Here is a 16,319-nt window from a genome sequence, read left to right on the forward strand (position 1 = left end):
TGATAGGAAGGCCTGAATATGAGAAATATAAAAGCCAGTATTGATTTTGGGTTGTTGAAGAAGCGTATTTGTAACGTACTGGTACTAAAGGCTTATTGAGAATCAAAGATATTGAAAAAAATATATCAAAGGAATCTTTTCACTGTCAAAAGTCAAGCTTGTGTACTCCCATTATAGCCTGGAGAGAAATTCATGCAAATTGATTGCCCTTTGGCTGGTTTGGATAATTAAGAGTTTACTAAATAAATATTTTAATTTGTCTGCATTATTATGGCTAGTGCTTTCATCAGTCTTAGGGTGATGTTGGGAATAAAGGATTTTTATCGGTGCAGTTTATGAAGGGTTTCTTTTGTCTTTCAGATGGATGATAAGACAGTTTTTCATGAGGAGTTCATTCATTACCTTAAATATGTTATGGTGGTCTATAAACGTGAACCAGCTGTGGAGAGGGTAATAGAATTTGCAGCAAAGTTTGTTACCTCATTTCACCAATCAGATATGGAAGATGATGAGGAAGAGGAAGATGGTGGCCTTTTAAATTATTTGTTTACTTTTCTCTTAAAGGTACTATGAAAATGATAGCTTTGGGGAGGGATTTTAGAAAATTTTGCCACTTTAAAAGAGTCGTGGGAGTTTGTATGTTTTTGACAATGAAATATCTAGTGATTGAAAAAACCTGAATGAGTCTACCTTTCATAGGAAATATTAGAATTATCATTATGATTAAAAAGTGGACTTTAACTCCAGCATTAAATTTTTAATGACCTCTTTAAACCAGTTCTCCTTTGTTTATTTTAAATGAGTTCTGTATTTTAGAAGCCTCTACAAAGAGGACTATGTAACTTAGCAAAGACTTCTTTCAGACTGTTCATTTTGAGACTGTATAAAATATATATATTTGCTATACATATGGACCAAGGTAGCATTATAGGTTCTCTTCAGGAAATGAATTGTTGTTGTAACTTCTTGCATTCCGAATGTATAGAGTTCAGATAATATTGATTATTTGGGAGTGGTATGTGACTATGAATAAATTTTGATTTGTTTCTGTTTTAGTCTCATGAAGCAAACAGCAATGCAGTGAGATTTAGAGTGTGCCTGCTCATAAACAAGCTTTTGGGAAGTATGCCAGAAAATGCTCAGATTGATGATGATGTGTTTGATAAAATTAATAAAGCCATGCTTATTAGATTGAAAGATAAGATTCCAAATGTGAGAATACAGGCAGTTCTGGCGCTTTCACGACTTCAGGATCCCAAGGATGATGAATGCCCAGTGGTTAATGGTGTGTGTAGTTTCCTAAATCTTTTTTCAGATTTGTTGATTTTGTTAAATTCTCAGTATTTGAAATTTTTTATTATGGTCTATACATTTGAAGAGTATAGGTAATTAATATATGATTCCGATTAAACAAAAAAAACCTAAGTAGCAACCACCCAGCTTAAAAAAAAAAGTCAGTACTTGCATCCTATCCCAGTTGCATCCCTGTCCCTCAGAAGTAACTATTAAATCCTCAGTTTGGGGTTAATTAGTCTCTTGCTTAAATTAAAAAAAATTTTTTTGCATAAATCACATATGTCTATCTTAATGTTTTCCTGTCATTTTGTGTAAATCATGCTGTATGTATATATTTAGCAGCCAATTATATTTCTATATAATACCTGTTACTGTGTTTTGCCCATTTTTTCATTGGGTTTTTAATTTAAAATACTATTTTAAAAAATTCATTTGCATTCTTTATATATTTTGAAAAGAAATCCTTGGGTTATATGAATTGTAGATCTCTTCCTGTTTTAGGTGGCTCATTGGGGTATCATTGTTTCACTCCCTTTGGGGTATCTTTTTTTTGAACAGAAATTCTTATGTCAAAAATATAAATCTCTGCCATTATGATTCGTATTTTTTAATCTCTTTTTTAAGGAACTTTTTCTTACCTATGGGGTCATAAAGGTAGTTGTATTTCATTTTTCCATATATGCCTAGGTATGTTTTAGGCACTCTTCTGTCCTTTTTGTCCCTATTACCAGTTTTATAATCACTGGTATATTTATCACTATAGTAGTTGGTATTTTTTTTGGTGTTAAAAGATACCCATAATAATATTGTGTAAAACATAGGTATTTGATAGTCAACCTGTACTTAATAATTGAGGTAGGAAAGATGTGAGAAGTACAGATAAATATATTTAAATATAAGAAATGGGTTTGTTTCAATGAATAAAACCAAAAAATATTTCCTTTTAGGTCTCATTAAAAACCAAAATAATGGGCCCTTATAAAGCCATATCAGTTTAAAATAAACTGTCTGCTATAGTAAGCTTTCTCTTAAATATTGAGGAGTAGCACAGACATAATCTTAATGATGAATTTTCTGTGACTTTTAGGGCTATTTGTTTTCACTTTTGGCCTAAGAGCCAGTCCGTTGACTAATTCCCCCTTGTGTCTTTAGAAGGGAAGTTGGTGGCCTGCGCAGCAGTGACTCAGGCCTGTAATCTCAGCACTTTGGCTCCAACCTGGGCAACATAGTGAGACCTTGTCTCCAAAAAAAAGAAAAAGAAGGAAGTTGGTGGGAAAAAAACTTCAACTAAAATATGTGAGACTAAAAAAATGACATTACTTTCTATTACAGATGGGTTCTCACTCGGGCTGGATTGCAGAGGTGTGGCCTCAAACTCCTGGGCTTAAGTGATCCTTCCACCTCAGCCTCCTAAGTAACTGGAAGCGCCACTACCATGCCTAGCTAATTTTTTATTTTAAAATTATTTTGTAGAGACAGGGGTCTTTCTATATTGCTCAGGCTGGTCTTGAACTCTTGGCTTCAAGCTCTCCACCTACCTTGGCCTCCCAAAGTGCTGGTTATAGGCAGTAGCCATCATGCCCAGCCTATCTTTATCACATTAAAGGCATTTTAAAATATCAAAATGTGTGTTATTTTATGACTGTAGTTAAATAAATAATTTCATCAGTACTAAAATGTATTGCTTTATTTTTAGCATATGCTACTTTGATTGAAAATGATTCAAATCCAGAAGTTAGACGGGCAGTGTTATCATGTATTGCACCATCAGCAAAGACTTTGCCAAAAATTGTAGGGCGCACCAAGGATGTGAAAGAGGCTGTCAGAAAGCTGGCTTATCAGGTAAATAAGTTCAATGTCTTGTGTTGGCATATTCTTAAAGGACAAGGAGCCATTTTCTTAAAGTGCCTTTGAAAAATACTTGGCATGTAATAATTTCTTCAGTTGAGGTTTTATGGAGAACACAGGTAATTTAGGTAGAATCTTACTGTATTAAGTATGTTACCAGGTATTAATTTCTTTTGGAGATTCTGGGTAATTTTCTAAGATGGTGATATTCTTATGAAATCTATAAATTGTGTTGAGGTTAATGACCATCTTTATAAATTATTTTTAAGGTTTTAGCTGAAAAGGTTCATATGAGAGCTATGTCCATTGCTCAGAGAGTAATGCTCCTTCAACAAGGTCTTAATGACAGATCAGGTAAGATAAACAACTTTATATATACAAAACTTTAGTAGATTTTGAGGTCAGACTTAACAAGGTTTAAGAAACGAGTGTCAAATCAGGTCAAGTAAGCCTGCCAGTCCCATGAACCTGGTGAAATTTATCTTGATGTATTATATAGAAAACACAGGGCTAAAGATTTTGATATATATATATTTTTGAGACAGAGTCTCACTCTATCACCCAGACTGGAGTGCTGTGGTGCAATCTTGGCTCACTGCAACCTCTGCCTTCTAGTTTCAAGCGATTCTCCTGCCTCAGCCTCCTGAGCAGCTGGGATTACAGGTGAACATCACCATGTCTGGTTAATTTTTATATTTTTATAGAGACGGGGTTTCACCATGTTGGCCAGACTGGTCTCGAACTCCTGACCTCAAGTGATGCACCTACTTCAGCCTCCCAAAGTGTTGGGATTACAGGTGTGAGCCACCGCGTCTGGCCAAGATCTTGGTATTTTGAAGGAGCAGAGCTTATTTCTTTCACCCTTTCTGTATTTTACAGATGGAGAAACAATACTTAAGTCTGTAGAGCTAATTCATGTCAGAAGTAGGAAAAGATCTATTTGCCCTCTCTCTCTGACTTAAAAAAAAAATGCTGTTCCTTATGTGTATACTTTGGTATGAATGTGTTCTGTGTATCAGAAACAACAAATAGGAATGGTCAGACCAGTATAATTTTCTTATTTTTTTTTTTTTCTGTTAGAGTAGAGTTCCCCAACATTTTTGACACCAAGGATCGATTTCATGGAAGACAGTTTTTCCACAGAGGGCGGGCTGGATGGTTTCCAGATGAAACTGTTCCACCTCAGATCATCAGGCATTACTTAGATTCTCATAAGGAGCGTGCAACCTGGATACCTCATGTGCGCAGTTCACAATAGAGTTCCTGCGCCTGAGAGAATCTAATGCATCTGCTGATCTGACAGTAGGAAGAGCTCAGGTGGTAATGCTCGTTAGACCACGGCTTACCTCCTCCTGTGCGGCCCGGTTCCTAACAGGCCACAGACTGGTACTAGTCCGTGGCCCAGGGGTTGGGGAGCCTGAGAGAATCTGCTTATAGGAATGATATTTTTTGAAGTTTTTAACTCTCATGAGAAGGCCAAGATGGCTCTATTGCGCTGTAGTGAGAAAACCGACTTGCGTTTGAAAACATTGTCAGAGGACTAATTAGTAGGATGACCTTAAAAGCTAAGACTAAGGTTTGTTCAGTGACGTGTGCTTGTATAGTTCACTACTGCAAATAGCAATCGTGTAATAGATAAAATCAGATAACAAGTGAGATAATAGCTATTACATATTCTGGGCTAACACCTGAAGCCCATTGAACCCAGGGGAGAAGGAATGTAAAGATATTTTTGTAGGCTGTGGTATTTGGTGCTGAACCTTTTCCATTTTTATTTGTAAGTGACCATTACAGTGACTTTTGCAGTATCATGGTACTTCTTTTTTTTTACCTTTAATATGCTTAGTTGGCTGGGCGCTATGGCTCACACCTGTAATCTCAGCACTTTTGGAGGCCGAGGCAGGCGGATCACGAGGTCAAGAGATTGAGACCATCCTGGCCAACATGGTGAAACAAAAATTAGCTGGGCGTGGTGGCGCATGCCTGTAGTCCCAGCTACTCGGGAGGCTGAGGCAGGAGAATCGCTTGAATCTGGTAGGTGGAGGTTGCAGTGAACCAAGATCGTGCCACTGCACTCCAGCCTGGTGACAGAGCGAGACTCTGTCTCAAAAAATATATATATACATGCTTAGTTGTGCCTCTTAACCTCTACTATTTCTATTGTAAATACTGACTTTGTTAATTAAAACAGACAAAATACAAGAGATGGAAGCTAGAGGGAGCCTTTGTTCACCTATGTTTCAAATGACTCAATAGATGCTGTGAAACAAGCTATGCAGAAGCATCTTCTTCAAGGCTGGTTACGGTTCTCTGAAGGAAATATCTTAGAGTTGCTCCATCGGTTGGATGTAGAAAATTCTTCTGAAGTGGCAGTCTCTGTTCTCAATGCCTTGTTTTCAATAACTCCTCTCAGTGAACTGGTGGGACTCTGTAAAAACAATGATGGCAGGTACATAAAGGATTCATTCTTTGAAATGTAGTACTGATTAACTTGTGCAATTAATTTGTTTTTTTTCCTCCCCATAGCTTAAGATTATATTAATACCTTTAATCTTAACTCTCTTTTGTTTTCTTTTAGTCTGATGAATATCCTTTTATCCTTCCTTTTTCCCCTCCTGGTGTAAGAACTCATAACTTTATCATAGACTATCTACTTTAGCTATGCTTTTCCCCCCTTCAGTTTCTTACTTTGATTTTTGAATTAGCCTACCATGAGAAAATCCAGCAACATGCACCCCTAGTATATGTTTGCTTATTTGGTTCTTTTTTGTTCTAAGTTTCTTCATTCCTTTTTGTGTGGATACATTAATGACTCTAATTAAAAGGATAGTGTAGTGGTTTTAAAGCAAATCTTATTATTCTCATTTTTGTACTCTTCAATTCTTAATGATAAAAAGATCATGCTTTCTCTCACACTCTTTCTTTTAAATGAAGGAAATTGATTCCAGTGGAAACATTAACTCCTGAAATTGCTTTGTATTGGTGTGCCCTTTGTGAATATTTGAAATCAAAAGGAGATGAAGGTGAAGAATTTTTAGAGCAGATTTTGCCAGAGCCTGTAGTATATGCAGACTATTTATTGAGGTAAATTTTTTTTCTTTTAGTTTGGAGAGTGATTGTGTTGCTGCATGTGTCAATCTCCCAGTCCCCTTCCTCAAAGTCATGTTTGATTGTGAATATGTTAAAAATCCTTTTTTTGTACATGTAGGGATAGTTATATACATCGAGTCTTTTTGAATATCTTGTGCTGGTCTGTATACTGAAAGAGCAAGTCACTATGTTTAGGATCATTTCTTCAAAACTGTTAAGATATGATTATGACCATTTCTGCATAAAGTTGATGATGATGATATATTATTTCTGAAATTGGTTGGCACATTTTCTGTTAAGTGTCAGATAATAAATATCTTAGGGTCCTGTGGGCCATACCGTCTGTCACAATGACTCAACTCTGCCATGGTATTGTAAAAGCAGCCAAAGACAATGTAAGTAACTGTTTTTCAATAAAACTTTTATTGACTTTTATGGCCACTAAATAGTTGAACTTTAATATTCATGTGTTAACAAAATAAGAAATTTTAAAAAATGATCAGTTAAAAATTTAAAATAGTCTTAGCTTGCAAGCTATATAACAGGTAATAGGCTGGATTTGATGCACGGAACATTGTTTTCCAATTCACAGCGTGGATCTTTGTGGCCAGTTTTATTTATTAAAAACTTACTATCTAGCTTCATGTTTTAAAGTTTTTTCAAAATATGCCTTTTTAAAAAACAATTTGGATTACCATAATTATACCTCTTAAGAAATTATTTGGATTACTTTATTTCACTTTAAAATTATACAAGAAAAACATGAATGCATTCTTGTCAAAATTCAAATACAGAGGTATAAGGAATAAAAATGTGGAATTCCCTCTTTTATTTCCTACTTCCTCAATCCCATTGATTAGCAACTAAGTGTATATTCTAGCAACCCTTAGAATTAGCAACTAAACAATATAGGGTGTATATTCAAACCTCTTTCTCTGCATTTATATACATTTTTTGAGTACAGGTTTCTTTAAAAATATAACACTGTGTATATACTTTTTTTTTCAACTGATAACTGAGATCATTATATATTGGTGCATATATAATGTAATAGATACTGTTACAGTCTTAACAGCATATCATTCCGTAGTATGGTGGTAACATTTAATTTATTCCTCTGTTGATGGACATTTAGGATGTTTCCATTTTTCACTGATAAAAGCAAAAGTATGTTAAATTTCCTTTACATTTTTGGGTACCTTTGGGATTTTTGGGGGTTAATTCCAAGAAATAAGTTGCTACACCAAAGGATAATATATGTATATTTTGATAGATATTGGTATGTAGGTTTTTAACTTCAACTTTATGGTTTATTTTTTTTTTTTTGAGACGGAGTCTTGCTCTGTCGCCAGGCTGGAGTGCAATAGTGCAATCTCGGCTCACTGCATCCTCCGCCTCCCGGGTTCAAGCGATTCTCTTGCCTCAGCCTCCTGAGTAGCTGGGACTACAGGCACGCGCCTCCATGCCCAGCTAATTTTTGTATTTTTAGTAGAGATGGGGTTTCACCATGTTGGCCAGGATGGTCTCAATCTCTTGACCTCGTGATCTGCCTGCCTTGGCCTCCCAAAGTGCTGGGATTACAGGCGTGAGCCACAGCGCCCAGCCTGATGTATTTTTTTAAAAAAGCTTCCATATAATATGAATTATGGACCTGAATTATCTGTATGAAGTACAGTTCTCTGCTTTTGTTTAAAATGATCTCACATAAAAGTTAGGCAGCAAAGCTGTGCATGCCTCTAAATTTCCCCTCAAAAATCCTAAATCTAGGATAAGTATCTCAAATGTGAGCCAGTAGGGAAACTATAGCTCAAGCCCATGTTAACATCATGAAGAACCTGTGTGAATCTAATGAGCATTTTAATGTTAATTATTTCAGACTTTGACATTTAAGTAGGGAATTCATTATAATGCTGTTTGGGCCATGTTGAAATGTTTCCAAAAGGAATGAGTTTGTGGCAAAGTTTAATAATATATATAAATATAAAAGATGTTTATAGAAGGTAGTGAAAATATAAGAAAATATGAGGAAATGTTAAATATTTAAATGGCATAAAGGGGGAGGAGTTTTCCTCAAGGACAGCATCAGAAGGTGACTTGTAAAAAGCTTGATTCCTCCCTTCTGAAAGGTCAGGGATTAACATTTCCTTTGTCACTCTCTTAGTTTTGAAATAAGTAACTTTAACCTCTTCGACTTATTTTCTTCACCTTTAAAGAGGAAAATTTTCGGCTGGGTGCGGTGGCTCATGCCTGTAATCCCAGCACTTTAGGAGGCTGAGGCCGGTGGATCACGAGGTCAGGAGATCGAGACCATCCTAGCCAACATAGTGAAACCCCGTCTCTACTAAAAATACAAAAAAATTAGCTGGGCGTGGTGGCAGGCGCCTGTAGTCCTAGCTACTCGGGAGGCTGAGGTAGGAGAATAGCGTGAACCTGGGAGGTGGAGCTTGCAATGAGCCGAGATCGCGCCACTGCACTCCAGCCTGGGCAACAGAGCAAGACTCCGTCTCAAAAAAAACAAAAAAAAGAAAACTTTCAGAAATTTATTTTAGTGATTGTTGAAAGAATACCTAAAAAATAGAATGAGTGTCTTTTTGGAGGAACATGACTAGATGGGATTAGTATACTTGAGTACAGAAACAAAATTAAATTGAAAAATTGTTTCCTGATAATCTCAGGAATATGTTTTCAGGCATACTGTATATTTTAGGCAGTAGATTCAATGACTAAGAACTCTGATGTGAAACAATTTTGGTTAACCAAGGTGCTCACTTAAAGAGCAAACGAGGAAATGAGGATTATCAAATTAGAGTAAGTAAAAGGGACAACAATAAAATTTGTTGAAAGCCATCTTAAATATAAATTCTTAGACTTTAAAATACTTTCTTGAGTGGTCTCTTCATTATAATAAATGTCTTTATAAATGGTTAGGATTTCATGGTAACTAAAATTGGTGGGTCAGTTTTAAGTTGTATTTATGCAGTTGAGGATTTTTAATCTATTAATTAAACAACTGTTTGAATTTACTTAAAAAAAAAAACTCAGTCAAGATGCTGTGCATTTTGCTAAAGCTGGGCTGGAGAAGTGGGGAGAGATACAAAGATGAGTATAAATGAAGGTTTTCTTTTAGCCTGTCAGAAAAGAGTAACTCTACTGATTGGTTGATTTTGATAGTTATCGGTAGTGTAGTTTTCCTTAGTTTCCTACTAGAACCCAAAGGGTGGCTGATGTCTTAAAAGTCCTAATCTTGTGGCCAGAAATTTATGAGCTTTTATTTACTCTTGGTCATCACTTTGTAATACATGAGAGTATACTCATTATACATTATACCACAATTTCTGTAACTTGGTTTTTGTCACCCCCGCCTTTTTTTTTTTTTTTTTTTTTTAAGAGACGTAGTCTTGCTTTGTTGCCCAGGCTGGAGTGCAGTAGCGTGATCTTGGCTTACTGCAGCCTCTGCCTCCCAGGTTCAAGCAATTCTCCTGCCTCAGCCTCCTGAGTAGCTGGGATTATAGGTGCCTGCCACCACATTTGGCTGGTTTTTATATTTTTAGTAGAGATGGGGTTTTACCATGTTGGTTAGGCTCTTCTTGAACTCCTGATGTCAAGTGATCCTCCCGCCTCAACCCCCCGAAGTGGTTGGGATTACAGGTGTGAGCCACTGTGCCCGGCGACATTTTTGACATTTTTTAAATGACATTTTTGATCAGGATTGTTTTTCATGTTACTTCCATCTTAAAGGCACTTCGCTGTCTAAGCTTCAATTCTTAGTTCTGCTTTTAAGTAGCTTTTTTTATTCCACACAAAAAGCAGAGGCTACTGAATATACAGCCTTCTTGGTGAGGATTATAAAGGGCTTTAGTTTGGGTGGTGATGTCTGTAGTAAGAATAAAAAGTTAAAATAAAAGGTAGCTGATGGTGGTGGTGTATACAGAGATTAGTAGGGTTTCTAAGAAAGAATAATAAAAATTTGTGAAATTGTTTCTATTTTTCTGATTTTTTTCAAAAAAGATAATTGTATTCATGGATTACTTGTGTAACTATTGTTACAATTTTTAAAAATAAAAGAATGATAATTAGGCATGATGAAGATTAAATCTTTTTTTTTTTTTTTTTTTTTGAGATGGAGTTTTTCTCTGTCACCCAGGCTAGAGTGCAGTGGTGCGATCTCGGCTCACTGCAACCCCTGCCTCCTGGATTCAAGCAATTCTTCTGCCTCAGCCTCCTGAGTAGCTGGGATTACAGTAGCCACCATGCCTGGCTAATTTTTTTGTACTTTTAGTAGAGACAGGTTTTCACCATCTTGGCCAGGCTGGTCTCGAACTCCTGACCTTGTGGTGCACCTGCCTCGGCCTCCCAAAGTGTTGGGATTACAGGTGTGAGCCACTGTGCCCGGCTGAAGATTAGATCTTTATGACTAATTGGATTTTTGGGTAAGGGATTCAGAACTTGATAGATGCTTCTTGACTTAAAGTGGGGCTATGTCATAAGTCAAATGAGTTTAATTCTCAGATAAACTCATCCTAAAGTTGAAAAATTGTAAGTTGGGCCACCTGTAATTGGGGACCATCTGTAATTGGGAGAATGCTAGTGACATTGAAATAATTAGTTATCAGTTAGACATAAATATGTACCTTTTGAAAATTTCCCATAGAAAATTTGAGTCATTATTGAAAATACATTTTCAAATTCTTTTGATTCATCAATAAGTTTGTTTGCAAAAGTTAATGACAGTGGCATAGAATTGAGTTTGTAGACCAAATTACATGGCATAGATATGTATTTAGACGAATATGACCTGAAAATGGCCCTTTTCTGACCTAATGGTGGGAATCAACTCTTGTTTGATGTTTCTTAAAAGATTCTACTTTATTAATTCTGCTTGTTTTAGTTACATCCAGAGCATTCCAGTTGTTAATGAAGAACACAGAGGTGATTTTTCCTATATTGGAAATTTGATGACAAAAGAATTCATAGGTCAACAATTGATTCTAATTATTAAGTCTTTGGATACCAGTGAAGAAGGAGGAAGGTATGTCTAAATGTTAACACTCATTCTAATTTGCCCTTCTAATTTCTTATATTGAAATATAGTCCTTTTACAATATAACTAAACATATTTACCCTAGCTCTCTAAAGTGGTATAAAAAGTTTTCTTTTCCCTTCTACATATTTCCATATATACACATACATTTATATTTCTAGTTCAATTTCCTCAGAATAAATCAATGAAATTGCAGTTTTTGGTTAAAAGTTTCTGTTTAGATTTATTAAGGCTAGTAGCATTTTCTAAAAGGTTTAATCATTTCTGGTATTTTGTCATTTTATCATGTTGATTTATTAAAAATCATAGGGTGTTTTATAAAAATTTTTTTTTGTGTGGAATAAGAATATTTGACCTAAAGTCTGTACATACAGATTTTTGTACCTATTATAGTGATAAACCTAAGTGAAAGAACTGAGGCAAATGTAATTAAGTTTGCAGAGTAGGTGAATGTTAGAGATAAAACATGTTTTGTCATAATAATATTTAAATTAGTTCTTTTTGACTGCAGAAAAAAACTGCTGGCTGTTTTACAGGAGATTCTTATTTTACCCACAATCCCAATATCCCTGGTTTCTTTTCTTGTTGAAAGACTACTCCACATCATTATAGATGATAATAAGAGAACACAAATTGTAAGTAATTTTCCTCATTGTTGATAAAGAGGTTTTGGTCAATGACATTGAATACTGTCTTATTTTCTGTTTAGAACTTTTTGTTTTGTCTGTTTTGTTTTAGGTTCGTCTCTTTAATGAGTTTTAAAATTTCTTAAAACCATTATCTATCTCTTACATACACAGAATATTTGAAAAATGTCACCTTCTTCCTCTTAGTGTACCTGTTATTGTTGAATCAGTTTGAAATGGAGCAGGTTTGGTAGGAAGTTACAAGTGGGGATATGGTTTTGTCCATGAGGCACTGGGTGCTAGTGTTTTTGAGAGCTTACTCAAATTGTACATACTAGGGTTTAGAATCTCATCTGACACTTTCTGGCTTTGTGGCTTTGGACAAGTTATTCTGCTGTTTTACTTGTCTGCAAATAAGAATAGCAATGAAATCTACCTTTCATTTTTCAATGAGGTATTGTTCATAAAGGTATTGTTCTGTATTGCTTGATAAATACAGAAATAATTGTTTACTATAATACTATTTCAGTGTTATTTTTTTCTGGCATAGCCAAAAAAGACAGATCTGTATCATTTATTTCATAAAAATCACATAATTTCAGTTGCAGGTTAATTCACAGATCATCTCTTCCATCCTCTCCTTATATATACACCCCTTCTACAACATGCTTAGTTGTTATTCAGCATCTGCTTAAATACTTTCATTTGGGAGGCAGCCTTTTCCTGATCAGCCAATTCCAATATACAAGTGGTTCTGAAAGGAAAGTCCTTCCTTATGCTATTATTATTTATGCATTGTCTACCCAAAGGAAGAATAAAAGGATATTCCATTTTTCTGTGTTTAACTCCTACAGAGCTGAACAAGAGAAGGGTTGAGGATTTTAGGCAGAGAATTTAAGTGTCTCATCTTAAGCACCATAATTCATATTTCTGTTTTTCAAACATTATATGAGGGATAATTTACTTTCACTGTCTGTGTGCCTATTTCCCTTCCATTCAAATAATTTCATTTTGTAGTCAGATATATTGTTTTGTTTTGTTTTTTTCTAAAATTGTCTAGCAAACAGAATGTGTGCTATTTCTACCAGTATGTTTTTGCTCCATTATTCAATATATGGTGGATACTACTTGGAGTTTTATATAGAATTTTGATACTATTTGCTGATATATCAAACATATATTAAAGCATGTACTCTGAACTTACAGGTTACAGAAATTATCTCAGAGATTCGGGCGCCCATTGTTACTGTTGGTGTTAATAACGATCCAGCTGATGTAAGAAAGAAAGAACTCAAGGTAAGTCTCTTTTAAATGAAAGAAGTGCTTGAGTGTAATGTAGCTGGGCAAGTCTATTCTTTCCTCTTGCTGTGCAGTTCTGAAATGTTTCTCACATAATCAAATTATTGTTTAATTGTTAAACTATAAGAATATTTAAAATGTTACCACATATGTCAGTCTCAGAGATATGCAGATCTCTGTGTCAGGAAAACTACAAGTTTGCATATGCCTGACTCATTAAATTCTGGGCAGTTGAGATATTAAATAATACTCCTGAGTTGCTACAGATATTCATATTAACAGTTTTTGTTCAGTGTTGAAACAATTTATATCTTCCCTTAGATGGCTGAAATAAAAGTTAAGCTTATCGAAGCCAAAGAAGCTTTGGAAAATTGCATTACCTTACAGGATTTTAATCGGGCATCAGAATTAAAAGAAGAAATAAAAGCATTAGAAGATGCCAGAATAAACCTTTTGAAAGAGACAGAGCAACTTGAAATTAAAGAAGTCCACATAGAGAAGGTACAGGTAACTTTTTTCATACTAAATCTCAGGTGTTATTAATCATCTCAACTAAATCTTATTTTCTCTAACTTCTAGAATTGCCAAAATATATTTACTTTGAGCACTTTGTAATAGTGACATGAATTAAAATGAAAAAAGTTTTTCCCTGTTTCTATTTTTGGACTTTGAAAGGCCTTAATTAACTTTAATTATTGGAGGTAGGACTTTATTTGCTTCCTTGTCATGCTAATCTCTAGAATCCGAAGTCTTTCTTACCAGGGAAGCTAGCTTTCCAGTGGTTCACATCTGAGTTTTCTGTTTTTTGTCTTGAATGGTTTAAAAAAGGAAAATACATCCATTTTCCTCTTATTTGTGGAGGATCAATGACCTTTCTTTTTTATTGCTAGCAAAATAATTTCTATGGTAACGTGCATTTTTTTAAAGCTAAATTACTTTTGTGTTTTTAGAAAAAGCTACGCAGCTTTGTTATTTTTAATGAAATACTGAAATATGTCTAGTAACATTTAAAGCTTGCTTTTCAGTAGTTCGTTTTTTAAAAAATTAGTTTGTTAAAGTACTCTCTTAAATGGAGTATGTCTTTCCTTCTGAAAGAAATTTTTTGTTAATGGTATCGATACCATTCTGTCTTACAACAAATGATAAATATGTAAACATAAGATAGGTATCAATTAATATTTGATATTAACTTTAATTTCTTTTGGGATCTTGCCTTTTGTAATGAACATCATTTATTGTTGTACTTTTGGGATGTGCTGATTATTCTCATAAAAAGAATGCTAAATAGGAGACTCTTTTATATAGGAGAGTTTCATGAGTTATGTTTCTGATCTCTTTAGCCATAGACATCCCAACTCCAACACCCACCTTCCCAGAGTGTATGCCTGAATTTTATTTTGATAGCTGGTGGCTTCTTTTATTTGACGAAGTCTGTGGGCCATTATAGGCTATTAAATTTGGAAAGCAAATTTAAAGCAAAAACTGAAAATATCATCTGAAAAATGACAAACTTTAGGTCAAAATTATAAAATTAGCAAAAGTAGTCTATCATGGTTAATATCGTCTGTTTAACTTGACTTGCTTTGACCATTTATGTGTCTATTTGTCCTGTTCGAGGGCTACAAATCTGTTAAAATGCAACTACAACAGAGCATAATAAATGCTATGGTCAGGGAAGTATAGAGGTTTTATGGAGAGGTTTCTAGTGCTGGTAGAGTATTGTTGGCTTCCCCAGAGGAAGACATGTTTTATCCTGAGATTAGAATAAAAATAACAATATAATCTAACAGTCAGAGGATACTTTTTCTGTGGTAGTCACAGCATTAATTACTTCACAAATGTGAATTCATTCTTTTCTTCCTATAGGCCTATGAGGTTGGTACTATTATTATCTTCATTTTACAAAGGGCAAGTAACTTGCCCAAAATCACACAGATAGTAAATGGTGGAGGCAGGATTTAAACCCAAGAAGTGGCTCTAGACTTGTGCTTTTAACTCACTCTGTGCTGTCTCTCCTCAATGAATTATGGAAGGAATGTTGTAGACAGATGGAGCAACATCTGTGATGGTCCAGAAGTTAAAGAATGCCTATTATGTTTTAAAACTTCAGGTCCATGTGACTAGAGAATTGATGGGGAGAAGCAGGAGAAAAATCTGGGGAAAAATTAAGGGCTAGGTCATGTAAGGCTTTGCGTAAGCAATATTAAAAATTTTGTATTCTAAGGATTGTGGTGAACCACTAGTATTTTAAGTGGTTAGGTAAGTCTTATGTCTCAGATCACTGTTGTTTAGGAAATGGATTGGAGAGTAGTAAAAGCTTAGACAGGCATAATAGTTGGGAGACTTACAGTAGGGTTGGGAGACTTACAGATGATGGTAGTCTGAACAAGATAATGACAGTGGATTTGGAAAGTAGTGATGAACTTGAGAGGTATTTAGAAATTAGTAACGGAGAAAAGGGAGTCAGGAATGTATCTTAAGTCTTTTGGTTTAGACAACTGGGTAGATGGTGATGACAGTATGAAGATAGAGAACAAGGAAGAGGAGAGATTTGTGTAATGATGAGTTCCCTTTTGGACATGTTGAGTTTGAGGAAACTGTGGAACATCAAGAGGAAATGTCTTTTAGCAGTTATATATATGAATCTGAAACTTAGAAAATAGCTGGGCTAGCTCATAGATGATAAACGAGGTTGTCAGGTTTTTTTTTTTTTGAGGTGATAATTAGGCAAGATGAAGATTAGACTTTTTTTTTTTTTTTTTTGAGACAACGTCTCCCTCTGTTGCCCAGGCTGGAGTGCAGTGGCATGATCTCAGCTCACTGCAACCTCCACCTCCCGTGTTCAAGCCATTCTCGTGCCTCGGCCTCCCAAGTAGCTGGGACCACAGGTGTGCACCACCACACTAATTTTTGTGTTTTTAGTAGAGATGAAGTTTTGCCATGTTGACCAGGCTGGTCCTAAATTCCTGACCTTAAGTGATTTACCTGCCTTGGCCCCCCAAAGTGCTAGGATTACAGGCGTGAGTCGTTGCGCCTGGCTGAAGTTGCCAATTTTAAAATCCTGCCTCTACCATTTACTATCTGTGTGATAGCTGTAAGATCACCTACAGAGTCTATAT

General features: G+C 35.3%; 1 protein-coding gene across 5 annotated transcripts in view; it reads left to right on the forward strand.

Moving 5' to 3' along the window:
• Nucleotides 1-16,319, forward strand: part of NCAPG (non-SMC condensin I complex subunit G) — a 33,887-nt gene that overhangs the window by 882 nt on the left and 16,686 nt on the right. Inside the window, exons 2-11 of one of the 5 annotated variants that reach the window (XM_017008543.3) lie at nucleotides 361-564; nucleotides 1,057-1,285; nucleotides 2,993-3,138; nucleotides 3,414-3,498; nucleotides 5,401-5,593; nucleotides 6,079-6,228; nucleotides 11,123-11,263; nucleotides 11,787-11,910; nucleotides 13,108-13,197; nucleotides 13,522-13,707. In XM_017008543.3, coding sequence (XP_016864032.1) covers nucleotides 361-564; nucleotides 1,057-1,285; nucleotides 2,993-3,138; nucleotides 3,414-3,498; nucleotides 5,401-5,593; nucleotides 6,079-6,228; nucleotides 11,123-11,263; nucleotides 11,787-11,910; nucleotides 13,108-13,197; nucleotides 13,522-13,707 — 1,548 coding nt within the window. Of the gene's footprint in view, nucleotides 1-360; nucleotides 565-1,056; nucleotides 1,286-2,992; nucleotides 3,139-3,413; nucleotides 3,499-5,400; nucleotides 5,594-6,078; nucleotides 6,229-11,122; nucleotides 11,264-11,786; nucleotides 11,911-13,107; nucleotides 13,198-13,521; nucleotides 13,708-16,319 lie in introns of those variants that run through there. The other 4 variants (NM_022346.5, NR_073124.2, XM_047416072.1 and 1 more) reach the window with 4 other exon arrangements.

The sequence above is a fragment of the Homo sapiens genome, chromosome 4 (genome assembly GCF_000001405.40).
Source record: "Homo sapiens chromosome 4, GRCh38.p14 Primary Assembly".
Classification (NCBI taxonomy): domain Eukaryota; kingdom Metazoa; phylum Chordata; class Mammalia; order Primates; family Hominidae; genus Homo; species Homo sapiens.